Source organism: Homo sapiens, chromosome 17, assembly GCF_000001405.40.
Source record: "Homo sapiens chromosome 17, GRCh38.p14 Primary Assembly".
In the NCBI taxonomy this organism is placed as follows: domain Eukaryota; kingdom Metazoa; phylum Chordata; class Mammalia; order Primates; family Hominidae; genus Homo; species Homo sapiens.
Window position 1 is genome coordinate 41,661,999 of NC_000017.11, and position 26,584 is coordinate 41,688,582.

The 26,584-nt window shown below is 49.5% G+C and overlaps 8 annotated features.

Annotated features, from left to right (window-relative positions):
- Positions 3,195-3,714: an enhancer, noted in NCBI's record as "H3K4me1 hESC enhancer chr17:39821445-39821964 (GRCh37/hg19 assembly coordinates)". NCBI's record gives its function as "activates a minimal SCP1, AML or CMV promoter by ChIP-STARR-seq in primed H9 embryonic stem cells {active_cell/tissue: H9 hESC(primed)}" and the evidence as "EXISTENCE:reporter gene assay evidence [ECO:0000049][PMID:30033119]".
- Positions 3,715-4,232: an enhancer, noted in NCBI's record as "H3K4me1 hESC enhancer chr17:39821965-39822482 (GRCh37/hg19 assembly coordinates)". NCBI's record gives its function as "activates a minimal SCP1, AML or CMV promoter by ChIP-STARR-seq in naive and primed H9 embryonic stem cells {active_cell/tissue: H9 hESC(naive and primed)}" and the evidence as "EXISTENCE:reporter gene assay evidence [ECO:0000049][PMID:30033119]".
- Positions 3,753-3,842: an enhancer, noted in NCBI's record as "active region_12167". NCBI's record gives its function as "activates an Ori minimal core promoter by ATAC-STARR-seq in GM12878 lymphoblastoid cells {active_cell/tissue: GM12878}" and the evidence as "EXISTENCE:reporter gene assay evidence [ECO:0000049][PMID:35858748]".
- Positions 3,963-4,202: a silencer, noted in NCBI's record as "silent region_8496". NCBI's record gives its function as "represses an Ori minimal core promoter by ATAC-STARR-seq in GM12878 lymphoblastoid cells {active_cell/tissue: GM12878}" and the evidence as "EXISTENCE:reporter gene assay evidence [ECO:0000049][PMID:35858748]".
- Positions 4,263-4,392: an enhancer, noted in NCBI's record as "active region_12168". NCBI's record gives its function as "activates an Ori minimal core promoter by ATAC-STARR-seq in GM12878 lymphoblastoid cells {active_cell/tissue: GM12878}" and the evidence as "EXISTENCE:reporter gene assay evidence [ECO:0000049][PMID:35858748]".
- Positions 5,263-5,492: an enhancer, noted in NCBI's record as "active region_12169". NCBI's record gives its function as "activates an Ori minimal core promoter by ATAC-STARR-seq in GM12878 lymphoblastoid cells {active_cell/tissue: GM12878}" and the evidence as "EXISTENCE:reporter gene assay evidence [ECO:0000049][PMID:35858748]".
- Positions 16,726-16,955: an enhancer, noted in NCBI's record as "active region_12170". NCBI's record gives its function as "activates an Ori minimal core promoter by ATAC-STARR-seq in GM12878 lymphoblastoid cells {active_cell/tissue: GM12878}" and the evidence as "EXISTENCE:reporter gene assay evidence [ECO:0000049][PMID:35858748]".
- Positions 20,021-20,100: a silencer, noted in NCBI's record as "silent region_8497". NCBI's record gives its function as "represses an Ori minimal core promoter by ATAC-STARR-seq in GM12878 lymphoblastoid cells {active_cell/tissue: GM12878}" and the evidence as "EXISTENCE:reporter gene assay evidence [ECO:0000049][PMID:35858748]".

Here is a 26,584-nt window from a genome sequence, read left to right on the forward strand (position 1 = left end):
TTATTCCCTAAACAATATAGTATAACAATTATGGCGGCTGGGCACGTGGCTCACACCTGTAATCCCAGCACTTTGGGAGGCCAAGGCAGGCGGATCACTAGGTCAAGAGATCAAGACAATCCTGGCTAACATGGTGAAACACCGTCTCTACTAAAAATACAAAAATTAGCCAGGCATGGTGGTGTGTGCCTGTAGTCCTAGCTACTCCAGAGGCTGAGGCAGGAGAATCACTTGAACCTGGGAGGCGGAGGTTGCAGTGAGCCAAGATCGCACCACTGCACTCCAGCCAGGGCGACAGAGCAAGACTCCGTCTCAAAAAAAAAAAATTATCTATACAGCATTTACATCGTATTAGGTCTTCTGAGTAATCCGGAGATAATTTAAAGTATACAGAGGGTGTGCGTAGGTTATATGCAAATATTACTCCATTTTATAGCAGTGACTTCAGCACCTGCAAATTTTAGTATTAAGTAGAAGGTCCTGGAACCAAAGCCCCATGGAACCCGAGGGACAGCTGCGTTTTGTGACATCTGAACAGCCACCCCCACGCACCCACGGGTTGTCCCACACCACAAGGGCAGCGTTGAGTGGCTGCGATAGAGGCCTTACAGACCTTCAGTTTTTCTATAAATCCCATGAAGTAGGGGTCAAGTCCCCACTGTACAAAGAAGAGTAAAGGGGCCACCCAGCCTTCCTTCCCTGCTGCTGTTAGGACCTCCTCCTCCACCCACTCCTGGTGGGACAGACCCAGCGCCCCTTAGCCCAGCAGGTACTCCTGGCCCACCTCTGCTGCACCCGCTCACCTGGCGGAGCAGCAGCGCCCCCTGCCGGTGGTCCGGGGCTGGCCGGCGCGCCCTAAGGCCGGACTCTTAGCTTCTGCCACCACCTGGTGGCCATTTCTGGAAGCGCAGCTGGGAGCCCAGATCCGGTGAGCAAAAGCTCTCGTGGGTTCCAAGAGAGGCCCTGCTGGTCCAGCCAGGTGTGGCAACGACCAGCGCGCAAAGTATTCCAGGCAGGGCTTGACGCCTCCAAGCTAGTATCCACTGAAAAAGTTTCACTTCGTCCCTGCTTTTTCTTTTTTTTTTTTTTTGAGACAGAGTCTTGCTCTGTTGCCCAGGCTGGAGTGCAGTGGCACGATCTCGGCTCACTGCAACCTCCGCCTCCCGGGTTCAAGCTATTCTCCTGTCTCAGCCTCCAGAGTAGCCAGGATTACAGGCACCCACGACGCTGGGTAATTTTTGTGTTTTTAGTAGAGACGGGGTTTGCTATGTTGACAAGGCTGGTTTCAAACTCCTGACCTCAGATGATCCGCCCGCCTAGGCCTCCCAAAGTGGTGGGATTACAGGCGTGAGCCACCACGCCCAGCCCTTGCTTATTATTCCATCGGTGAGAAAACACCTGACAGAGCTTAAATGTTTACTAACTGTGGCTGTGAATCTCTAACCCCTGGGGAATTGATCAAAGACCATGAACTATGGCCAAAAGATGATGGAGGGGATGTGAAGGTCAGCTGACTTAAGTCCCTTCCCCCGTGCATTTGGCCTTGAGTACTTCATCATTCTTTCTTAACTTCATTCGTTATTCATTCTTTCAGCAAACTCTTCTTGAGCACTACACAATGTGCGGTGCCAGGTGCTGGAGAAACACCTGAGAACATGCAAAGCAGTCCGCCCTCATGGAAGTGACTAACAAATCATTCACAAGGTGTGATGAGGCATATTTGGAGGGGCAGAGAAGCCACTTGAGCATCACATATGGGCAGCGACTTGACCTTGTTGAGTGTCATGGAAGGCTTACAGTGGCCTGAGAATGGGTCGTCTAGCCGACAGGGTGGAAGAACCACATGTGCAAAGTTCCAGAGCTGAGGAGTGTATCCAGAAAGTGGCTGGAAGAAGGACTGACCGGCAGGAATGCAGAGGTTGATGGAGAGAGGAGGTGAGGCAGAGCTGGAGAGAGAAGGGGGCTGAGCCAGACAGAGCCTCCAATGCTGGGTGGATCTGCAAAGTTAAGGCATCTGCTCATGCTCTGGGGCAACAGGGGGCCACTGCCTGTCCTGGGAGGAGACAGAGCACATTCTGCTCCTTAGTAGAGCCCACTGTATGACTGGGCAGCTCTGCTAGCTGGAAAGTTCATTCTGAGATGAAATTGATGCCTCCCCTGCCCACAGGCTCCTGAGGCATACACACAGATGGAGGTGCTTCCCTGCCCCCAGCACAGCCCCTCACCCTATAACAGCCTCACTGGCTGTTCCCTGGCAGAGGCCCTCACACAGGGTAGGCAGGAGGGCACGCTGGATGTGAATCCCAGCTCAAGCCCTTACCGGCTGTGTTGTCTGTCTCTTACTTAACCTCTCTGAACTTCCATTTTCTCCTCTGACTTCAGGGCTGCACATGTAAGAGGGATAGTGTTGGGAAGTGCTTAGTACACATTAGGTACTCAGTGGTGATAACAGAGGTGGTGACAATGACATGGTTTATCCCCAGCTGACCTTTTCCAGAAAAGATCCTATCAGTCAGTGTTCTGCATTTTAAAATGTGCCACCAGGATGGGGCACGGCAGCTTGAGCCTGTAATCCTGGCACTTTGGGAGACTGAGGCTGTAGGATCGCTAGAGCCTAGGAGTTTGAGACCAGCCTGGGCAACATAGGGAGACCGCCCCCACCGCCCACCTTTACAAAAAAATTAAAAATTAGCCGGTCATGGTGGCATGCATCTGTAGGCTCAGCTACTCAGGAGGCTGATGCAGGAGGATCACTTGAGCCCAGGAGGTCAAGGCTGCAGTGAACCATGACTGAGCCACTGCAATCCAGCCAGGGCAACAGAGCAAGATGCTATCTCAAAAAAAAAAAAAAAAGTGCTATTAAGAGCTGAACTCTGTTCTGGGGGGAGTAGCCTTTCCTTCCCTTCTCTGAGCCTCAGTTTCCCTATATATAAAAGAAAGGAATCAGATAAGATGGCCTGAAAGGCTGCCACCAGTTCTAATGCTCTCAGGTCCTGCTCTCTGACCTACCCAGGACACATGGAACCATCATCACCTCCTTGATCCAGGCACTCTACTCCTCATAATGGAACCAAGATGGTCTTCACTTTATTTTTTTTTTCCCATTGTCCCTGTCCTTACTGCCCTCTGTGTTATGCCAACCTCCTCTGAGTTAACTGAGGCTCAGAGGCTCAAGCAGTCTTTGCCACCCTCTCCCCACTGTCCCCCCCACCCCTCACTCTCCCACCAGACTGTCTGCTCCATCCCCGTCCCAACTGCTCCCACCTGGACTCCCTGCTGCCCTTGGTTCCTACCCCACCCCTCTGTCCACTCCCCCACTCACATACCTGGCCCTCCTTCCCCCATGCAGCCCATCTACCTTCACAGGGAGGCAGCAAGACACCCCCGCCGGCCTAGGAGGGTCGAGATCCTAGGACTCTACTTTTTCCAGTCCTGGTATTTGCCTACACGCCCCAGCCTCCCACCCCCAGCGCCCCCCCCAACACACACACACCCACACACACACACACGCACGCACGCACGCAATTATAACCCCCTTAGGGACAGCCGTTGTGTCTGCTGTAGTTTAGCCTTGGATTCATCATGGCTTCGACATCGCCGGCCCTGGGCCAGTGTTCGAGAGCATGGCCCCAAACAGTTCTTGCTCTGTTCAGCTCCCCACATTGCCAAGCTGCGAGCGGGCTCTCTGTGCTTCCTGCCTTCTGTCTGCCTCGCCTGTTCTCTCCAGGTAGGCGGCTCCTCCTCCAAGCTCCCCCAGCCCTGGGCTGACCTCTGTCACCTGGATGGTGGGTGCGGGTTCTCCGGGCATGCACCTCGTTCCCCTCTTTACTCCCAGCAGTGGCTGAAACTTGTGGGTGCTTGATCGTGCTAGTTAAATGAATGAACATGTGGTGGTTACAGGCAAACCCACAATGCCACACAGGACACCGACCAACAACTGAAAACGGTGACAGCTGCCCTTACCCGCAGCTCCCCAGCGTAGCCCTCCCCCATCGCAGCCAGACCGGCTTGCCCACTGCGCAGCAAGGCGGAGCCCCGCACAGCTAAGCCCGGGCGTGGTGCTCGCGGCGCCCTCTGCTGGCCGGGCCCACGGCCTCCTCCTGCGCACGCGCGCCGCCACCCCGGGACCAGACCTAAAGGGAGAAGGCGCGATCTGGGGCCCTCCCTCCGCACCCCCTCGCCCCGAGAAGCCCCAAACCCAGGTCTTTGACCCTCATGAACATCCTTTGTCCTTCCTCTCTCCTGCTCCCCCTGCAAACATTTTAGGCATCCCTAAATGATCACCAGCCCTCGCCTGCTCTCTTAGCAGGCCTCCAGGTGGGGTTAGAATTGTCAAATGCTGGCACAGGACGAAACCCTAATAATAATAACTATGATGATGACGGCAGCTGCTGCTGAGCGGGCACTTTGTGGTTACCTTAGCAACCTTCCACCATCCAGGAAGTGCAGCCCCTTCTTTCACAGGCGGCAGCTGCAGCCAGAGGCGTGCGGGGACTTCCCAAGGTCACACAGCAAGAATCCTAAGAAACCCGGGGTGTTTCCTCTGCCTACGTGGAGCTAACCCTGCCTCCAGAAGCAGGGGCCTTGAGATGGGAGCAGAGCGATCTGGTGCCCCGGAAACCCCACCCCCACCCCCACCTTGCCCCATGCGCAGCGAACGTGGCTACATTTCCTATCGTTTGTCCAACCCATCATTTTGCCTTTGGGAAAATTGCAGGGGAGGTGGAGGCCAGAGGACAGGGAGACAAACGTTCGTGGGCATCTGCCACGAGCACATTTGCCACGCTTTGTGACAGGCCCTTTCCCGTTACACACCACACCTGCCCAGGACCGCAGCACAGAACCAGGACCCAAACCCGCCGACTCCCTCCCTAGTGCTCCTTCCTCACCCCCCACCCCCTCCCCCCTCCGCAAGTTCTCTCTTGGAAAAGGGGCCGCTGGGAAGGGGAGGAAACGCACTCACTACAGGACTCCAGGTGGGGTCCAGAGGCTCTGCCCCTGGTGCCTCTTCCCCAGCCCTAAAGCCCCCAGCCCTAGAGAGGGGACCCTCCTGCACAACATCTCCAGGGGACCGGGTACTCCACTAGGGTCGAGAAACGTTGAATAGTGCGGTGGGTGCGGGAGGCGCGCCTAGGTGCCGAAACCCGGTCTGTGCTGCCATCCTGTGGCCATTGCAGGAAGTGTGCCTGTCAGGCCGCTCTGCATTGAACCTGAAATGCCGGGTCACCCTTGGGTTGAGTGAAACCGGGCCCCATGCTGAGGCTACAAGGGACATAGAAAGGGACAAGACGCAGCCCGTGCCCTGAAAGAGCTTACAGTTCGGTAGGATGGCCTTCAAATGACATGATCCAACACTCAACTCGGCGCCAGATACCGCCCAAAATAGAAGATCGTGCAAAAGGTTCCAAAAGGTGGAGGCAGCCTGCCCCGAAGCACATCGAGAAAGCCCTCCTGCAGCAAAGCCGTGTCGAGACTGGGCCTTACAGGGCAGGCGGGGCTGGGGCAAACAGAGATGAAGGAAGGCGCTCCAGGCGGAGAGACCAGCCTGAGCAAAGGCACAGGGGCAGGAAACACGGATTCTCAGGAATCCAGCTTGTCCCAAGTCTAGGTCAACTGTGAAGGGGAGAGCAGCATGGCCAGGTCCTCCAGTGCCCAGGTAGGAGGTTTCACTTAACCCTTTAGGCCACGCGGCCAACAAAGGTCTTTGAGCAAGCCAGCAGCTTGACCAGAAGTCTGTCCAGGAAAAGAGCATGATAGCTGGGGAACGGGGGCAAATGGGTGAGGTTTCAGAGCAATTAGGAAGGAAGGAGAACAGGAGGAGGCATGAGCGACGCGGATGGTGGTGCCACTGGCAGAGCTGGGAAGTCAGGGGCCACGCAGGGGAGACCAGGGCTGGGGTTTAAGTTCCTGGCAGAACATCCCAGTGAAGACGTCCTTCAGGAAGCCAGAAAGAATACATTAATAAAAGAGGAAGTAATAGTTATTGCTCATATGTGTACAGACTTTATAGTAAATAAAGCAGCTTAATCCATCATGCATTTGACTCATATTTTATTTATTTATCTTTTTTTTTTCTTTTTGAGATGGATAAACCCCACCCCCTTGCCCACCCTCGTGGTCTGGCCCCTGTGCACTGCTCCGGCCCCTCCCCTTCCCAGTGTCTTATGATGGCCTCTGGGCCTTTCTAGTCAGCTTGGGCCCACGTCTTCCCTTTGCCTGGCTGAGCTTCACTTGCCCTGTGGTCTTAGCTTAGTGGTTCCTTTTTCCAGGAATCCTTCCTATACCTTGCAGGTTGGGTTGGGTGCCGTAGCTGTGATGCCCCTGCCCCGTACACCCTTGACATTTGCCCATCATGGCCTGTATGGTGCGTGACTGTGGTCTGTCTCCCCACCAACTTTACTTCAGTGTGGCGGCTGGGTCTTATTGACCACTCACCCCAGTGGCCTGCTCAGTATCAGTCAATGAACATTTCTTGAATGGAAGACCTGAGTGAGGAATGTGAAGCCCTGCGGGACCTGCTGGCACAGCGCAGCAGCCGAAGCGGGGGCAGACAGAGGCATCCGGGAGGGCCAGAGCTGGTCTCTGAAGGCTGGTCTCGAACTCCTGACCTCATATGATCCACACACCTCAGCCTCCCAAAGTGCTGGGATTACAGGTGTGAGCCACCACACCCAGCCTGGAAAGTTTATTTATTCAGGTCTGTTGCAGCCTCACTTCCCAGTCTGTGAAGATAAGAGCTAATTTCTCATCCAGAGAAGGGACCTCCGAGAGGAATCTTTATGGCTTACTGCATACAGGAAAAGACAGGTCAGCTCGCCCTTTCTAAAACTACAATTTCTCCAATATTTACAGCTCAAAATAATCACTATGCCAATTTGGCATATTTGGGGATGGCACGTTCTTCACTCCGTTGGGGGACTTCAGTGAATACGGTGTTAGATTGCAGTGAGGGAGACAGATATTAACTAACAGCCAAAATAAATAAGTAAATTACAGGGTGTAGGAGATGATGTCCTGGAGGGAAATGAGCAGTAATGCAGAAAAAGGGAGAGGAGGAAGACTGCGGGGAGGGGTACAATTCAAAATAGGGAGGTCAAGGCTGGGCACGGGGACTCACACCTATAATCCCAGCACTTTGGGAGGCCGAGGCAGATAGATCACCTCAGGTCAGGAGTTTGAGACCAGACTGGCCAACCTGGTGAAACCCCGTCTCTACCAAAAATACAAAAAATTAGCCAGGCGTGGTGGCACGCGCCTGTAGTCCCAGCTACTCGGGAGGCTGAGGAAGGAGAACCACTTGAACTCAGGAGGCGGGGGTTGTGGTGAGCCGAGATCACGCCACTGCACTCCAGCCTGGGCAAGGAGAGGGAAATTCCATCTAAAAAATAATAATAATAATAAGAGAGGTCAGGACAGGCCTCATACAAAAGTGCTATGTAAGCAAAACCTTAGACTTTGAGAAAGAAAGCCATGGAGATATCTAGAGGGAAGCTTCCAGACCCCAAGGTGGGAGCATTTCTGACATGCTCTAGGCCCAGCTGGGGGCTGGTGTGGCTGGAGTGGGGACGGAAGGCCAAGTAGTTGAGATGAGATGAGCAGAGTCACAGGCACTGGATCACAGGGGGCCTCCTAGAATGTGGTGGAGACTGTGGCTGCTGTGTCGAATGAAGGTGCCAGGGAGCAGGGACAGGAGTGAGACCCACTGGGAGATGAGGAAACTACTCCAATAGTCCAGGCGAGAGAGGATGGTGGCTCAGATCAGAGTGGAGCAAAGGAACCCTACACTGAACTGTAGGCTTGAAAATGATGTACAGGTGGCAAGAAGCAACGAGACACTGGAGCTAACACGCAGGGAAAGCCCCCAGACGTCCCAACAAACTGTAGTGGGCGGAGGAGTCAAGAATGCTATTACTGAGAGGATAGAGCTGCCATGAACAATGGGAAGGTTGTGGGCAGGAGCTGTTCAGTGGCAGGAGATTAGAGGTTCAGTCTGAGTCATATTGAGTTTGAGATGTTTATTAAACATCAGTGGGGGCCAGGCACGGTGGCTTATGCATGTAATCCCAGAATTTTAGGAGGCCAAGGTGAGTGGATCACCTGAGGTCAGGAGTTCAAGTCTAGCCTGGCCAACATGGCGAAACCCCGTCTCTATTAAAAATACACAAATTAGCCAGGCATGGTGGCACGCACCTGTAGTCCCAGCTACTTGGGAGGCTGAGGCAAGATAATCACTTGAACCCAGAAGGTGGAGGTTGCAGTGAGCCAAGATGGCGCCACTGCACTCCAGCCTGGGCAACAGAGTGAGACCCTGTCTCAAAAAAGAACTAAATGAATAAATACTGTTTTCCAACCCTGTGTGTTTTCATGCCCACTTTTGCACAGGAAGGAACTGAGAATCAGATGGGTGAAGGCACTTAGCCAGGCGGGAAGCTCCCAAGAGCAAAGCCCTGGCCCAAGGATCCTTGCCCCGGAGATGTTTCTGTGTGTTTTTTTGAGACAGTCTCATTCTGTCACCCAGGCTAGAGTGCAGTGGCATGATCTCAGCTCACTGCAACCTCTGCCTCCTGGGTTCAAGCAATTCTCATGCCTCAGCCTCCCGAGTAGCCTGAACAGAGATGTTTCTGGTTCACTGAGCTGCTGTGATTCTAACACCCCCTCTGGGGAGAGATCTGGAAATATAAACCCATGAGAGCTGAATTGAACTAACGTGCAACTTTAGGAATCTTTTTTTTTTTTTTTTGAGACAGAGTCTCCCTCTGTCACCAGGCTGGAGTGCAGTGAGAGAGCACAATCACAGCTCACTGCAGCCTCGACCTCCCAGGCTCAGGGGATCCTCCCACCTCAGCCTCCCAAGTATCTGGGACCACAGGCATGTGCCACCATATCCAGTGTATTAGTTCATTCTCATGCTGCTGATAAGGACATACCCTAGACTGAGCAATTTACACAAGAAAAAGGGTTTTTTTTTTCTTGTTTTTATGGGTTTTTTTTTTTTTTTTTTTTTGGAGACAGAGTCTTGCTCTGTCCCCAGGCTGGAGTGCATTGGCGTGATCTCATCTCACTGCAACCTCCGCCTCCCGGGTTCAAGCAATTCTCCTGCCTCAGCCTCCCGAGTAGCTGGGATTACAGGTGAGCACCACCACGCCCAGCTAATTTTTGTATTTTTAGTAGAGACAGGGTTTCACCATGTTGGCCAGGATGGTCTCGATCTCTTGACCTCGTAATCTACCTGCCTCGACCTCCCAAAGTGTGGGGATTACAAGTTTGAGCCACCGCGCCCGGCCAAGAAAGAGGTTTAATGAACTTACAGTTCCACATGGCTGGGGAGGCCTCACAATCATGGCAGAATGAGAAGCAAGTCATGTCTTATATGGATGGTGGCAGGTAAAGAGAGAGAACTTGTCCGGGGAAACTCCTCTTTAAAAAAACATCAGGCAGCCATAAAAAATGATGAGTTCATGTCCTTTGCAGGGACATGGATGAAGCTGGAAACCATCATTCTCAGCAAACTATCACAAGGACAAAAAACCAAACACCGCATGTTCTCACTCATAGGTGGGAATTGATCAAAGAAAACACATGGACACAGGAAGGGGAACATCACACACTGGGGACTGTTGTGGGGTGGGGGGAGGGGGGAGGGATAGCATTAGGAGATATACCTAATGCTAAATGACAAGTTAATGGGTGCAGCACACCAACATGGCACATGTATACATATATAACAAACCTGCACATTGTGCACATGTACCCTAAAACTTAAAGTATAATAATAATAATAATAATAAACATCAGATCTTGTGAGACTTATTCACTATCAAGAGAACAGCATGGGAAAGATTCGCCCCCATCATTCAATTACCTCCCACTGGGTCCCCACTATAACATGTGGGAATTCAAGATGAGATTTAGGGCCGGGCACGGTGGCTCATCTTCTTCATTTATCACATTGTTAAAATAATTGGGAGGCCATTAGACTGAAGCCACTCTAGTGCCCTGGGTTTCTTTTTTTTTTTTTTTTTTTTGAGACAGAGTTTCACTCTTGTCACCCAGCCTGGCGTGCAGTGGTGCAATCTCAGCTCACTGCAACCTCCACCTCCTGGGTTCAAGCAATTCTCTTGCCTCAGCCTCCCGAGTAGCTGGGATTACAGGCGCCTGCCACTACGTCTGGCTAATTTTTAGTGTTTTTAGTAGAGGCGGAGTTTTGCCATGTTCGCCAGGCTGGTCTCAAACTCCTGACCTCAAGTGATCCACCCACCTCGGCCTCCCAGACTGCTGGGATTACAGGCATGAGCCACGGTGCCCGGCCTTGTGCCCTGGGTTTCTATGTAAGTAAATCAAAACCCATCTCAGTATAGATGGGTTTAACTAATCAGAAACCACCACAAGTTACTACTAGCAAGGGACTTTCCATGCGAATAATCTGCATTTGAACCAATCAAATAGTTTCTTTGCTCTGCTTCAAAGTTTACCCTATACAATTTTTCCTTTATGCTCTGAAACACCAGAATCCCCCAGTCTGGGATTCATCCCCCAGTCTGCCTGATTCATGAATCACTGTCTGCTCAAATTAGCACTTTTTTTGTTTTGTTTTGTTTTTGAAGAGACAAGGTCTCACTATGTTGTCCAGGCTGGTCTTGAACTCCTGGGTTCAAGTGATCCTCCCACCTCAGCCTCCAAAAGTGCTGGGATTGCAGGCATGAGCCACCTCACCTGGCCAGCTCTTTAAAATTCTAATATGCCAGTTTATCTTTTTTTTTTTTTTTTTTGAGACGGAGTCTCGCTCTGTCACTCAGGCTGGAGTGCAGTGGCCTGATCTCAGCTCACCGCAAGCTCCGCCTCCCGGGTTCACACCATTCTCCTGCCTCAGCCTCCCAAGTAGCTGGTACTACAGGCACCCGCCACCACGCCCAGCTATTTTTTTGTATTTTTAGTAGAGACGGGGTTTCACCATGTTAGCCAGGATGGTTTCGATCTCCTGACCTCGTGATCTGCCCGTCTCGGCCTCCCAAAGTGCTGGGATTACAGGCGTGAGCCGCTGCACCCAGCGCAAGTTTATCTTTTAACACCTGGAATACTTCTGTTACCAGAAAGGGGTCCTGAGTCCTGATCCAGACCCCAAGAGAGGGTTCTTGGAGCTACTGCAACAAAGAATTCAGGGCAAGTCTACACAGTAAAGTGAAAGCAAGTTTATTAAGAAAGCAAAGAAATTTAAAAATGGCTACTCCATAGGCAGAGCAGCCCCAAGGTCTGCTGGTTGGTTATTTTTATGAATATTTGTTGATCTCATGACAAATATAGGGTAGACTGTTTATCAGTTTTCTGGGAAAGGGGCAGGGGTTTCCTGGAACTGAAGGTTCTTCTTCCTTTTATACCATATTGGGCAACCTCCGGGCATTGCCATGGCATTTGGGAGTGTCTTTTAGCATATGCTAATGTATTATAATTAGCATATAATGAGCAGTGAGGATGACCAGGGGTCACATTCATTGCCATGTTAGTTTGGGTGGGTTTTGTCTGGCTTCTTTAGTGCATCCTGTTTTATCAGCTGGGTCCTTGTGTAACTACTGTCTTCTGCAAGAATCTATTATTATCTGATATATTATCTTTTTTTTTTTTTTTCAGACGGAATCTCGCTCTGTCGCCCAGGCTGGAGTGCAATTGCTCAATCTCATCTCACTGAAACCTCCGCCTCCCGGGTTCAAGCAATTCTCCTGCCTCAGCCTCCCGAGTAGCTGGGACTACAGGCACCCGCTGCCACGTCCGGCTAATTTTTTTGCATTTTTAGTAGAGACGGGGTTTCACCGTGTTAGCCAGGATGGTCTCAACCTCCTGACCTCGTCATCTACCCACCTCGGCCTCCCAAAGTGCTGGGATTACAGGCGTGAGCCACCGCGCCCGGCCTCTAATATATTATCTTTATCTTTAAAGCAAAACTCACACTAAGAATGCTCTAAGAATGCTTTTTGTTGTTTTTGTTTTTGTTTTTGTTTTTGTTTTTGTTTTTGTTTGAGACCGGGTCTGGCTCTGTCACTCAGGCTGGAGTACAGTGGTATGATCTCAGCTCACTGCAACCTCCATCTCCCGATTTCAAGCAATTCTCCTGCCTCAGCCTCCTGAGTAGCTGAGATTACAGGTGTGTGCCATCACGCCCGGCTAATTTTTTGTATTTTTAGTAGAGACGGGGTTTCACCAAGTTGGCCAGGATGGTCTCAAACTCCTGACCTTAGGTGATCTGCCCGCCTCAGCCTCCCAAAGTGCTGGGATTACAGGCGTGAGCCACCGTGCCCGGCCTTGTTTCTTAAGGTATTGGTACATCAGGACATTTCCTGGGTCTGTTCATTAAACACGATTAACTTGTTTGTTCCCTTAACTGTAAATTTTTTTGTTAAAAAAAATCAGTTCAAAATAATCCTTATGCTGAAGAAGTATATTTGGGGCAGCATATTCCGGTCTATGGTCATATTTTGGGGTGGCATATTCTGATCTCCTACAATTTAAAGGTATAATTTAAAAATAAAAATAAAAATTTCAGCCAGATGCAGTGGCTCACACCTGTAATCCCTGCACTTTGGGAGGCCAATGTGGGCAGATCACTTGAGGCCAGGAGTTCAAGACCAGCCTGGCCAACATGACAAAACCCTGTCTTTACAAAAAATAACAAAATTTAGCCAGGTGTGGTGGCGCACGCCTGTAAACCTAACTACTCAGGAGGCTGAGGCAGGAGAATCACTTGAACCCGGGAGGCAGAGGTTGCAGTGAACCGAGATCACACCACTGCACTCCAGCCTGGGTTACAGAACAAGACTCCATCTCAAAAAAAAAAAAAAAGAAAGAAGGAAAATTTTGGATGTTTCTAACCCCTCCTGCTCTCTAGAGGTTCTATAAACCTGCAACCCTCTTTTTTTTTCCCCAGTACTGAAATAGGTCTTGGCTGTACACATTTGGGGGCAAGCAGGGAGCAGGGATAAACTGACCTGCAAAACCAGAGACAGAAAAGTTGAAGGTCTGCAACTGGGAGGGGATCAAAGGAGGAGATGAAGGAGCCAACAAAACAGGTTCTAGATGGGAGAAAGCAACCCCCATAGAGAGGTCAAGAGGGATCTAAGCAAGTTAAGACTTTTGAGATATGGGGTGTGTGTGCATTTGTGTGTGTGTGTGTGTGTGTAAATGCCCTCCCCCACCTCTTTCAGGGGTCACTGAGTAAAGTTTACATCACTCACACTGAAGCTGTCCTCACAAGTTTGACAAAAACTCTGGATAGGAATACAGGTATAATTAAGCATTAATCGGGCTGCTCTTTGGCCCAGTTCCTTGTAACCTAAAATCACCTAACACTCAGTACTGAACATCTGCATTTCCATGTTCCTACAGATAGGATCTCTGACATTAGAATCATGAGACTTCTGTTTAAGAATTGCTGAAGATGGCCAGGTGTGTTGGCTCATGTCTATAATCCCAGCACTTTGGGAGGCCGAGGTGGGTGGATCACCTGAGGTCAGGAGTTTGAGACCAGCCTGGCCAACACAGAGAAACCCCATCTCTACAAAAATACAAAAATTAGTTGGGCATGGTGGTGCATGCCTGTAATCCCAGCTACTAGAGAGGCTGAGGCAGGAGAATTGCTGGAACCCGGGAGGCGGAGGTTGTAGTGAGCCCAGATTGCATCATTGCACTCCAGCCTGGGTGACAGAGTGAGAATCTGTCTCAAAAAAAAAAAAAAAAAAAAAAAATTGCTGAAGATGTTTCTCCAATCCTGAATTCCAATGGAACAGCTGATGCCAACCAGTTTGAAGGTTCCCACGGAGTAATCAAATTAGCATAAGAATGCAGTTTCTTCATTTCCCTGTAGGTGAATTCACCTTGCACCAATCAATGATCAGTTCCCTCCAAAACCCTTAAAATTCCTAGCCCCAAACTCCTCAGGGAGATGGATTTGAGGTTTCCTCTGGTCTCCTCATTCAGCAGCCCTACAATTAAGCCTCTTTCTCTGCTACAACCCAGTATCTCAGTTACTGGCTTTCCATATGCACATCGAGCAATAAACCTACTACGGTTATAACTTGTGTTTTAAGTGAAAATGAATTCTTTGGGGAGACTGTGAAGAGCTGCCGAGGACTGCACACAGACTGACACAGCACAGAGCAAAGGGAGCCTCAAAGAATTTGGTGTCTTCATAAATCTACACAAAACCAGATGGAAAGAGGCCAGAATGGGTCCTGGTCATCTCTGGGTGGTGACTGATTTAACAGGTGATTTTTTGGTTGCTTTGCGACTTTTTAATTTTTTATGCAACAGGCATTGCGATATTGAGATATGATATGAAAAGTTGTTTGATATTGGTCCCCAGTTCCTGGCACAGAGCCCTAATGTAATATAATAAATTAATATTTGTCTTTTGTCCCCAGCTCTTGAAATATCCCTGGAGCAACAAAAGTTAAAGGAACATCTTTTGTTATCAAAACAAGCCTGTTTCAACCACACAGGAGTTTAAGTTAATGAGTGACTTTTGGAAAGCCCCTAAGGAGGGGGGCTGGATGCCAGGGGAACCAAGCATGTGATTAGAGAAGTAGAACTTTCAGCCCCACCTCCTGGCCTCTGGGGAGGGAAGAGAGGCTTGAGATTGAGTTTAATCACCAAGGGCCAATGATGTAATCAACCATGCCTACATAATGGAAGCACCATAAAAACCCAAAGGACCCATCAAGGTGTTGGGAGGATGGTGCACCCGAAAGCACGTCAAAGCTCCCCACACTTCTCCACACCTCACCCTGTGCGTCTCCTCCATCCTGCCAGGTTTGTTTTGTTGTTGTTGTTGTTGTTGTTGTTTGTTTTGTTGTTGTTGTTAAGAAGGAGTCTGGCTCTGTTGCCAGGCTGGAATGCAGTGGAGCAATCTTGGCTCACTGCAACCTCTGCCTCCCGGGTTCAAGCGATTCTCCTGCCTCAGCCTCCCAACTAGCTGGGACTACAGGCACCCGCCACCACACCCGGCTAATTTTTGTATTTTTAGTAGAGACAGGGTTTCATCATGTTGGCCAGGATGGCCTTGATCTCCTGACCTTGTGATCCACCCGCCTAAGCTCCCAAAGTGCTGGGATTACAGGCGTGAGCCACCGCGCCCTGCCTGTTTTGAGTTTTGTTTTGTTTTGTTTTTTGAGACAGCGTCTCACTCTGTCTCCCAGGCTGGAATGCAGTGGTGCGATCTCAGCTCAGTGTAACCTCTGCCTCCCAGGTTCAAGCAATTCTCCTGCCTCAGCCCGTTGCTGGGATTACAAATTGCTGGGATTACAAGTGCCCACCACCACACCTGGCTCATTGTTGTAGTTTTAGTAGAAACAGGGTTTCACTGTTTTGGCCAGGTTGGTCTTGAACTCCTGACCTCAAGTGGTCTGCCCGCCTCGGCCTCTCAAAGTGCTGGTATTGTAGCAATGAGCCACTGCACCCAGCCATCTGCTGTTTTTTAGTTGTATTCTTTTATAATAAGCTGTCAGCCTGGTAACTCAACTGTTTTCCTGAGTTCTGTGAGCCATTCTAGCAAACTATCAAATCCAAGGAGGGGTTGTGGGAACTCCTGATTTATAACCATTGGCCAGAAGCACGTGAAGCGCAGACTTGTGGCTGGCATTGCAGTGGGACAGTCTTAAGGAATTGGAGGCTGCAGTGAGCTATGATCACACCACTGCACTCCAGCCTGGGCAACAGAGCAAGACCCTGTCTCTAAAAGTAGATAGATAGATAGATAGATAGATAGATAGATAGATAGATAGACAGACAGATAGATAAAATTTTAAAATGAAGTGGGGTAGTATTGTAGAGTTAAGCCATTAACCTGTATAGTCTTGCAATAGGAGTTCCACAGGACTGGTTTTGCAAGGTACAGGTCACGAAGACCCCTCTGATAAAACGAGATGTGGTAAAGAAGCCAGCCAAAACCAAGATGGTAATGAAAGCGACCTCTGGACTGGGCGCGGTGGCTCACGCCTGTAATCCCAACATTTCGGGAGGCTGAGGCAGGCATATCACGAGGTCAGGAGATCAACACCATCCTCACTAACACGGTGAAACCCCATCTCTACTAAAAATACAAAAAATTAGCTGGGCCTGGTGGCACGTGCCTGTAGTCCCAGCTACTTGGGAGGCTGAGGCAGGAGAATCGCTTGAACCTGGGAGGCAGAGGTTGCAGTGAGCTGAGATCGTGCCACTGCACTCCAGCCTGGGCGACAGAGCAAGACTCTGTCTCAAAAAAAAAAAAAAAAAAAAAAAACAAAAAGAAAGCAACCCAACCTCTGGTGTCCTTACTGCTTATTATATGCTAATTATAATGTATCAGCCTCGTGGTCAGCAACCCATTTTTGGGTCCCCTCTCACTGTCGAGAGCTTTTCTGTCCCTCAATAAATTCTATTCTGCCTTACTCACTCTCTGCTGTCCATGTACCTCATTTTTCTCAGTCATGGGACAACAATTCGGAACTCATTGAACTACGGGGGTAAAAGAGCATAAAAACTTCTTAGTAATTTTCCACCAATCTCCCTACCCTGTTCCTTGGCTATAAATCCCCAATTTTCCCTATTGTAGAGAGAGTGAAACCCAGTCTCTCTCCTCTGCTACAAAACCCCAATGTAATAGCTCCCCCTTGAATAAAGTCTTCCTTCATCTTTAACAAGTGTCATGAGTAATCTTTTCTTTAATGCCACACTGACCTGGGCAGGACATTCAGCACCTCCCCCAAGCTCTGGGAAGGGAAACCAGCAGTGACTACAAGGATGCCTGTATGGGGCCCTGGACCAGACCCAGACAATCTTCCAGGGCAGGCACCCCTTCCAGGTTAGGGGCACAGGCTCTGGATCTGAATTCCAGCCATGCAACTTACCAGCTGTGATCTTGCAAAAATGATTCCTCTCTATGATTCAGTATCTTTGTTACCAACAAAGCTGGTCCCCAGAAAATGGAGCCTTTCCCCGTTTGGTGTTACAAATCAATATGCAAAACTGAAAGTGAATGTCAAGCAGTGCAGGCTTTAGATTAGACGGTCATGGAATTGAGAAGTGGGAGCTTGGGCTCGGCTCCTGAGAGCCAGGAAGTCACAGATATAGGGCACCTTTAATGAAAGGGTTGGATATTAAAAGTAAGGGGAGGAATATTCATTTCTTTTCTGGGAATGGGTGGAGAACTCCTTGAAACTGGAGTGCCGTCTTCCTTTTTGTGTTTTTGTGGTTTCTTCCGGTCTTAGTCACAGTGATTGTTAACTGTCATGGTGCTGGTGGGAGTGTCACTTAGCACAGAAATTAGTTATAATGAAGTTAGAGGTTCTTCAGAGGTCAAGTGAGCTGCCTTGGATCCCACAAGTCTTAGCCAGTTTGGTCAGAAGGGGGAGCTTTTGACCTCAAGCATCCTGTTTCCTAAAGATAAGCAGAATTAAGGCAGGGTAGAAATTCACCTATGTCACACAGGCATTACACTGGGTAACATCCTCATCTGTAAAAGAAAATAACAATTCTCGCCAGGCACAGTGGCTCACACCTGTAATCCCAGCACTTTAGGAGGCCAAGGTGGGCAGATCACCTGAGGTCAGGAGTTCAAGACCAGCTTGGGCAACATAGCAAAACCCCATCTCTACTAAAAATACAAAACTTAGCCAGGCATCATTGTGGGTGCCTGTAATCCCAGCTACTCAGGAGGCTGAGGTGGGAGAATTGCTTGAACTCAGGAGGCAGAAGTTGCAGTGAGCCAAGATTGTGCCACTGCACTCCAGCCTGGGCTACAGAATGAGACTCCATCTCAAAAAAAAAAAAAAGAAAAGAAAGAAAGAGGGAAGGAAGGAAGGGAAAGGAAGGAGAGAGAGACAGAAAGAGAGAAAGAAAGAAAGAAAGAGAGAGAAAGAAAGGAGGGAGGGAGGGAGGAGGGAAGGAGGGAAGGAAGGAAGGAAGAAAGGAAGGAAGGAAGGAGGGAAAAGAAAGAAAGAAAGAAGAAAAGAGAAAAGAAAAGAGAGGGAGAGAAAAGCAGGAGGAAGGAAGGAAGGAAGGGAGGGAGGGAGGGAGGGGAGGGAGGGAGGGAGGGAGGGAATTTGTTTGAATCTTATGTTGTGTGCTGTAATGAGATTGTCCACAGTAGCACTGGCCTCCCAGACCCTCTCCAAATATGCACGGCACATCTGAGCTCCGGAGAGAATTGGGGTGCATGCCCCAAATGCTGGCCTCCATCAAGAAAACAGATAACCCCTTTATAAGAGCACAATCATCCCAGAGGTTCCTCGCTCAGGAAACCTGGTCCCTCTTGGGTGGCCAGGCAGCCCAGCAGGAAGAGGGCCACCACCGCTATCCTGCCAGGTCTCTGTCTGCAGAAGGACTAATGAGCTTTGTCAGGATTCCATGGGACAGGGTGTGAAACACTCAGCTAAGCTCGTAGCAAGAGCTCAACCACTGTAAATTTCACAAAATAAAAAAAAAAAAAAGACCGTACAAAACTCCTCTCAGGAAGAGTTTTATCTATGGTAGAGGGACAGCTGCTAAGCTGTTTGGGGCAAAGGATGAAATCGATGCCCCCCACTGCCCCGGTGCATGCTCAGGTGGCAGTATCTGTCTTGGGCTAGGCAAGTGAAAAGAGGAGAGAATTTCACCTTGTTGGCCCAGGAAGGGACACAGTTTGGGTGAGTGAATACTCAATAAGCCACTTGAGCAGGAAAAAGTTCCCTCGACATCCTTGGCCCGGCTTTGGTACATATGACCATCACCAAGCTGTCTTCTAAACTGGGAGCAGGGAGAGAAATATGCAAGCTCACAGCAGAGCTAAATCACTGGGAACTAGAGATGCTGGAGGCGGGGGCAGGAGACAAAGAAATGAGGCAGGTGGTGGCAGAGAAGGCTGGAAAGAACAGCCGTTCCTGTGACTAGGGCCTGCCATGTGTGTGCCAGCAGGCTCGCTTCAGCCTAGCATCCTGCTGAGCAGCACTGTCCAGTAGGAATAGAACGCACACCACACATGCAACTAAATAGCTCCTGGGGGCTCCCAGGAGCCACGTTTCTTTAAAGTAAAAAGAAACAGGTGAATTTAACTTAATAGTATATTTTATTTAATATAATAGATCCAAAATATTCTTATTTTAATAAGTAATTCATATAAAAAGTATTGTGAAGGCTGGGCACAGTGGCTCACACCTATAATCCCAACAATTTGGGAGGCTGAGGCACGCGAATGGCTTGAGCAGAGGAGTTTGAGACCAGCCTGGCCAACATGCTGAAACCCCATTTCTACAAAAACATACAAAAATTAGCCGGGCTAATTCGGTAATGTGCGCCTGTGATCTCAGCTACTCAGGAGGCTGAGGCAGCAGAATCGCTTGAACCCAGGAGGCAGGGTTGCAGTGAGCTGAGATTGCGCCATTGTACTCCAGCCTGGGCGGCAGAGCAAGACTCCATCTCAAAAACAAACAACAACCCGGGTGCGGTGGCTCACACCTGTAATCCCAGCACTTTGGGAGGCCAAGGCGGGCAGATCACGAGGTCAGAAGTTCGATACCAGCCAGGCCAACATGGTGAAACGCCGTCTCTACTAAAAATACAAAAATTAGGCGAGCGTGGTGGTACACACCTGTAATCCTAGCTACTTGGGAGGCTGAGGCAGGAGAATCACTTGAACCCGGGAGGCGGAGGCCACAGTGAGCCGAGATCGCACCATTGCACTCCAGCCTGGGCAACAAGAACAAAACTCTGACTCAAAATAAATTAATCAATTAATATAACATAATATAAAGCATTGTGAGACTTTACAGTTTTTTTTCATGCTCATTCTTCAGAGCCCTGTGTGTTTTTACACTTACAGTGCATCCTCATTCAGACTGGCCCCATTTCCAGGGTTCAGAAGCCACAGGTGGCTTGTGGCTGCTGTGGCCCTTTGAGAGTTAGAATTAATTTGGGGAAGATGGGTGGGTGCAGAAGAGAGGGGAGGCTGCCCAGAGAGGCACCTCCAGGTGACATGTGCTTGGGGCCAGAGCTGCACACTGGGGACAGCTGAGTGTTGGGGGGTGTGCAGAGGTGTGGCTGAAAGGGGATGAGCAGTGTGTCCCAACTGGTGAGGGTTGTCACCACACGGCACCAGCCCTCTCTGCGTTTCCTCCTGTCCTCTCACAGTGAAAGTGAAGGACTTGATGAGTCTTGCTGCTCGATTACTGCTGGATGAACTCTTGGAGACAGCCCTTATATGAGTTACACTAGTTTAAAAAATGAAATGAAATGAAATGAAAGGAGGGCTAGAGGACCTATGCCTAGGTCCAAGGCAGACTGCTCCACCCAAACACACCTGTAAGCTTGTCCCAGGAAAGTGGCCAGATCTGAACTGATTGCCATCAAACATGTCTAATGCTCTTCCCTCCATCTGGAACATCCACCTGCCCTCAGCTAGAGAACACCTCCTTCAGTGCCCGGTCAGAATATAGAACCCCTCTGTGCACCTGTGTCTGGCACCTCCTCCACGCTTCCTGGGCCCCTGGTTCCTTGGAGTGCTGTCTGAACCCTCGCTAGGCTGTGATCTCCTTGAGGCCCAATGCCAGGCCTGGCCTTCTCCACCTCCCTAGGCTGCACTTTGTATCCTCTCCCACCCACCTCGGCAGTTGAGTCCGCAGTTGGGCCACCTGGATGGCCCTGCCCGGGGAAGAGGAACCAAGGGCTCTGGTCTTTATCTCCCTTCCTAAATGAAGTTTCCCCCCATCTATAGGAGCTCCTGCAGGACTCCCTGAAAAAGGAGGAAAGAGAGGAGGGGAAGGAGTGGGAAGCAGGATGGGGAAGACAGATGCTCTGCCAGCAAAGAGGCAAAGAGGAACTGAGCCAAGTCCCCACCGTGGGTTGGCATAAGTGGGTCCCTGGCAAGGGGAGGGAAAGTAAGAACAAGAAGAAAGGCTGGCCGGGTTGGGAGGTGGCGGTAAAATATAACCGCCATACACACACAACACACACTAGCCATAAGGGTACAGCTCAATAGATTTTTGCCACCTGGATCAAGAGGAAGGTCATTTCCAGCACCCCATAAGGTTCCCCCATGTCAGGCCGGGCGTGGCGCAGTGGCTCACGCCTGTAATCCCAACACTTTGGGAGGCCAAGGCAGGCAGATCACTTGAGGTCAGGAGTTCGAGACCAGCCTGACCAACATGGTGAAACCCCATCTCTACTAAAAATACAAAAATTTGCAAGGCGTGGTGGTGGGTGCCTGTAATGCCAGCTACTTGGGAGGCTGAAGCGGGAGGATCACTTGAACCCGGAAGGCGGATGTTCCAGTGAGCCAAGATCGCACCACTACACTCCAGCCTGGGAGACAGAGTGAGATATCATCTCAAAAAAGAAAAAAAAAAAAGTTTCCCCCATGTCCCTTCCCAGCATCTACCCTAGGCAGGTTTGAAGAATTGATGTATTGCCAGCAGAACCCCAGCTGATGCCCGACCTGCACATCTCATCATTACCCTGTGCAGGCTGCAGATCAAGCTGCAACAGGCCCGGGTCTCCCTCCTTCTCCAAGTGGTAAGAACAGCAGCCTTCATTCACTGGGACCTTCTATGTGCATGGGAGCGGGGGAGGGGGAACTATTCTAGTCACTTACATACGTGGGTCGTTAAGTCCCAAATAAGGAATGCAAGAAATGTGGCATTAATTGGACTTTCTTTAAATCAAGTGAGATCCTTGCCAATTAACATCCCACTGGGCTGCTCAGAAATCCAGCCTTGGAAATGACAGGGGCTCCAGCCCTCCCCAGGATTCTCTCTCGCTCACAAGGTTTTCTAGAGCACCAGAGCTACAAGGAGCCCCTAGACCAGATCATCTATCTGCCTTGGTTACCATGGAGATGTCTATTTTCCCAGAGGGTGCAATCCCTTCCTGGAGGGAGATTCTGCTGCTTCCGTGCCACGTTGGTGGCCTTGGAGAATCTTATTGAGGTCGAGGGTCCCAAGGTGTCCTACACAGCCATGCCCTTGTCACATCCCAAGGAGATCACCATGGAGAGGTGCCCACCTCTGTCCCATCCTCATTCAGAGGGGCTCACTCCTGTCCCCTGCTGCTCTCGGAGGCTCTCTCTCTCCCTTCCCCTCTGGGAAACTGGTATAATCTATATAGTGGTTTCATAACTTTACATTTTTATCCGGCTGTACATAGTCTCCTCTTTAAATCCCCTCAACAGCCTATGAGAAGGGCATTATTGTCTCTGTCGTACAGAGGAGAAAATGCAGGCTGGGAGGGGCTAAGTCGCCCAGGCAACAAGATGGAGATGATATTCAGATACAGACACTCCAGAGCCTGTGCTTTGTACCCTGCCCTTGGCTGCCCAGGTGACAGCATCTCAAAGCCAGGAGCACACTAATAAAGAAGCCAGCATTAACAGCAGGCATGCATGCCACTTTCAAACTAATTACTCCTGCCTCCATGATTACTCCTCAGGCTCCTGGGGCTGGGGTAACCTCCCACACTGGAAGGTAGACTTCGGAAGACCCTTCTGGAAATGCTCCCAACTTGGGAAAACAGCGCTTCAGACTTCAGACCCAGGAAGAGATCACCCAGTGCTCCTTTTATGGGGCATACAACTGAAGCCAAGAGGTAAACCAGGTCACCCACAAAGCTGGTGGCAAGTCAAGAACTGAGTCTCAGGCCTGGTGCGGTGGCTCATGCTTGTAATCCCAGCACTTTGGGAGGCCGAGGTAAAGGATTACTTGAGCCTAGCAGTTCAAGACCAGCCTGGGCAACATAGTGAGACCTCATCTCTACCAAAAATTTAAAAAATTAGCTGGCTATGGTAGCACATGCCTGTAGTCCCAGCTACTCAGGAGGCTGAAACGGATCACTTGAGCCTAGGAGTTCAAGTCTGCAATAAGCTATAATGGCACCATTGCACTCCAGCCTAAGTGACAAAGCCAGACCCTGTCTCAAAAAAAAAAAAAAAAAAAGAACTGAGTCTTGGCCGGGTGTTGTGGCTCACACCTGTAATCCCAGCACTTTGGGAGGCCAAGGCGGGCGGATCATTTGAGGTCAGGAGTTCAAGACCAGCCTGGGCAATGTTGTAAAACCCCTTCTCTACCCAAAATACAAAAATTAGCTGGGCATGGTGGCACCTGCCCGTAATCTCAGTTACTTGGGAGGCTGAGGCAGAAGCATAGCTTGAACTCAGGAGGTGAAAGCTGTGGTGAGCCAAGATCGCACCACTTCACTACAGCCTGGACGACAAAGCGAGATTCTGTCTCAAAAAATATTTTAGTGTGACAAAATATTGCATGCACACTGGGAAGGACAGCTCCAATTCATTCATTCAAACTCTCTCCCAAAACCCTTTCCAGCAGAACAATGTCCGTCAGGGCAAAGTGTTGTGGGATGTCAGGGACTCCCAACAGAGGGACCCGCTGAAGCCATGGCAGAAGAACATAAATTGTGAAGATTTAATGGATATTTATTAGTTCCCCAAATTAATACTTTTATAATTTCTTACGCCTGTCTTTACTGCAATCTCTGAACATAAATTGTGAAGATTTCATGGACACTTATCACTTCCCCAATCAATACCCTTGGGATTTCCTATGCCTGTCTTTACTTTAATCTCTTAATCCTGTCATCATAAGCTGAGGAGGATGTATGTAGCCTCAGGACCGTGATGATTGCATTAACTGCACAAATTGTTTGTAGAGCTTGTGTGTTTGAACAATATGAAATCTGGGCACCTTGAAAAAAGAACAGGATAACAGCAATGTTCAGGGAACAAAGGAGATAACTTTAAACTCTGACTGCCCGTGAGCCGGGCAGAACAGAGCCATATTTCTCTTCTTTCAAAAGCAAATGGGAGAAATATCGCTGAATTCTTTTTCTCAGCAAGGAACATCCCTGAGAAAGAGGATGCGTCCCTGAGGGAGGCCTCTGAAATGGCCACTTTGGGGACAGCTGTCTTTTACGGTCATCGCTGAGGGATGAAATAAGCCCCGGTCTCCTGTAGCGCTCCCAGGCTTATTAGGACGAGGAAATTCCCGCCTAATAAATTTTGGTCAGACCGGTTGTCTGTTCTCAAACCCTGTCTCCTGATAAGATATCATCAATGACAATGTGTGTCTGAAACTTCATTAGCAATTTTAATTTCGCCCCGGTCCTGTGGTCCTGTGGTCTTGCCCTGCCTCCATTTGCCTTGTGATATCTTATTACCTTGTGAAGCACATGATCTCTGTGACCCACACCCTATTCGTACACTCCCTCCCCTTTTGAAAATCACTAATAAAAACTCGCTGGTTTTGCGGCTTGGGGGACATCATGGAACCTGCCGACATGTGATGTCTCCCCCGGACACCCAGCTTTAAAATTTCTCTCTTTTGTACTCTGTCCCTTTATTTCTCGGACCAGCCAACACTTAAGGAAAATAGAGAAGAACCTACGTGAAATGTCGGGGGTGAATTTTGCCTGATAGTAAAGGTTCCCAAGTTGGCTGACTGGGGCCTTAGCTTCTCAAAAGGGGAAGACCATGAGACTGGGATGCCCATGACCTAGCCATGGTTCCTCCTTCCTGATGTCAAGGAAACCAAACTATTAATCAAGTTTATTTAGTAAATATAGAATCAAAACAAAGTATCAGGCCAGGCACACTGGCTCCTGCCTGTAATCCCAGCACTTTAGGAGGCCAAGGCAGGGGGACTGCTTTAAGCAGTTGAGGCTGCAGTAAGCCATGATCATGCCACTGCATTCCAGCCAGTCTGGGTGACAGAGTGAGACCTTGTCTATATATATATATATATACACATACATATATATATACATATATACACAAATACACACACACACATATATACACACACTCATATACATATATATATATATACACACACATACACATATATATATCAGGTACACCTAGCATTTCCTCCCTCAGAGTTTTTCTGAGTTTTCTGGTGGGCACATGCCCTGCCCCACAGTGGACTCCTTCCTACCCTCTGTCAGCCAGAATGCTGCCTCCCCAGAGGCCTTCTCTGACCACCCCATCTGAAGGAGCCTGGCCCTTTCACATCACCCTGTTTACCTCCTTTTTGGCACCTCTCACAATCTGTCATTATCCTTTTTTTTTTTTTTTTGAGACATAGTCTTGCTCTGTCGCCCAGGCTGGAGTGCAATGGCGCCATCTTGGCTCACTGCAGTCTCCTCTTCCCGGGTTCAAATAATTATTGTGCCTCGGCCTCCCGAGTAGCTGGGACTACAGGCACACGCCACCACGCCCAGCTAATTTTTGTATTTTTAGTAGAGACAGGGTTTCACCATATTGGCCAGGCTGGTCTCGAACTCCTGACCTCGGGTGATCCGCCCACCTCAGCCTCCCAAAGTGCTGGGATTACAGGCATAAGCCACAGCGCCCAGCCTCATTATCTTATTATTTGTTTAGTGGCTCTCTCTCCCGCTGGCCTTCAACTCCACAAGGGCAGTGACCCTGACTGTCAGGGACATAAACCAGCAGTCCATGGGCATGCATATTTTTGTTTGGCTTGCAGTGTTGTATCAAAAATTCAATTTATTCCTGTAATCCCAGCACTTTGGAAGGCCGAGGCAGGCAGATCACCTGAGGTCAGGAGTTCAAGACCAGCCTGGCCAACATGGTGAAAACCCATCTCTACTAAAAATATTTTTAAAAAACTAGCCGGGCGTGGTGGTGGATGCCTGTAACCCCAACTACTCGGGAGGCTGAGGCAGAAGAATTGCTTGAACCCAGGAGACGGAGGTTACAGTGAGCCGACACAGTGCCACTGCACTCCAGCCTCGGCGACAAAGTGAGACTCTGTCTCAAAAAAAAAATCAATTTATTGGCAATATTTAAAAATCAAGAGATTTTATGTAAACACCTGGATTTCCTGGCACTCTTGAAAAAGATCTAGCACAATGGGCTGGAGGTGAGCGGCCACTGCAGCCCGTAGTTCTTACTCCAGCCCCCAGTCCACCCCATTACATCACACTTGGCTGTTTGCACTCCTTGATCCTACTTACCTGCCTATCCCCGGAGGCCTTTGAGTCTAAAATTCCTGGTCTCTTTTCACCACTCTACTTACCCCTACAACTGAGTGTTGAAATAAATAAACTGAAAGCAAGAAAGGTTGACTGTTTTGAAGGAAATATTTCATCTAAACTCTAGGAAGGCTCTACTCCACACAAGCTGTGCCACATGAAGGACGCCCTCTGGTGCCAGAATTATTCTCGGGGGGGCCCAGAACCAGTTACTATACCTTGAACTCATGCCAATGAGCTGGGCACACTTTTTCCTTAGATGGATTAATCTAATCTAAATGAAAATTTTAGATCGGATTAACCCACTTTAGAATAAATCTAAATGGCAATCTAAATTATGCGGTTACCGTTTTGATTATATTATTGTATGTTGATTAATCAAAGTGCCGCCCTAAATCCCGCTGTGACTCCGTGGGTAGTAGGGTGGGTAGGTAGGTGGGTTTGACACAACGGGGATTTCTCGTGTTTGGGAGGCTCATCATCTAAATCCTCTCTAAGGAGTGTTCATTTACCATATGAAACTCCCCTTTTCGAGAAGACAGGGATGCAACAGGGTCAAGAAGGTGGAACGTACCAAAGGACACAGTGC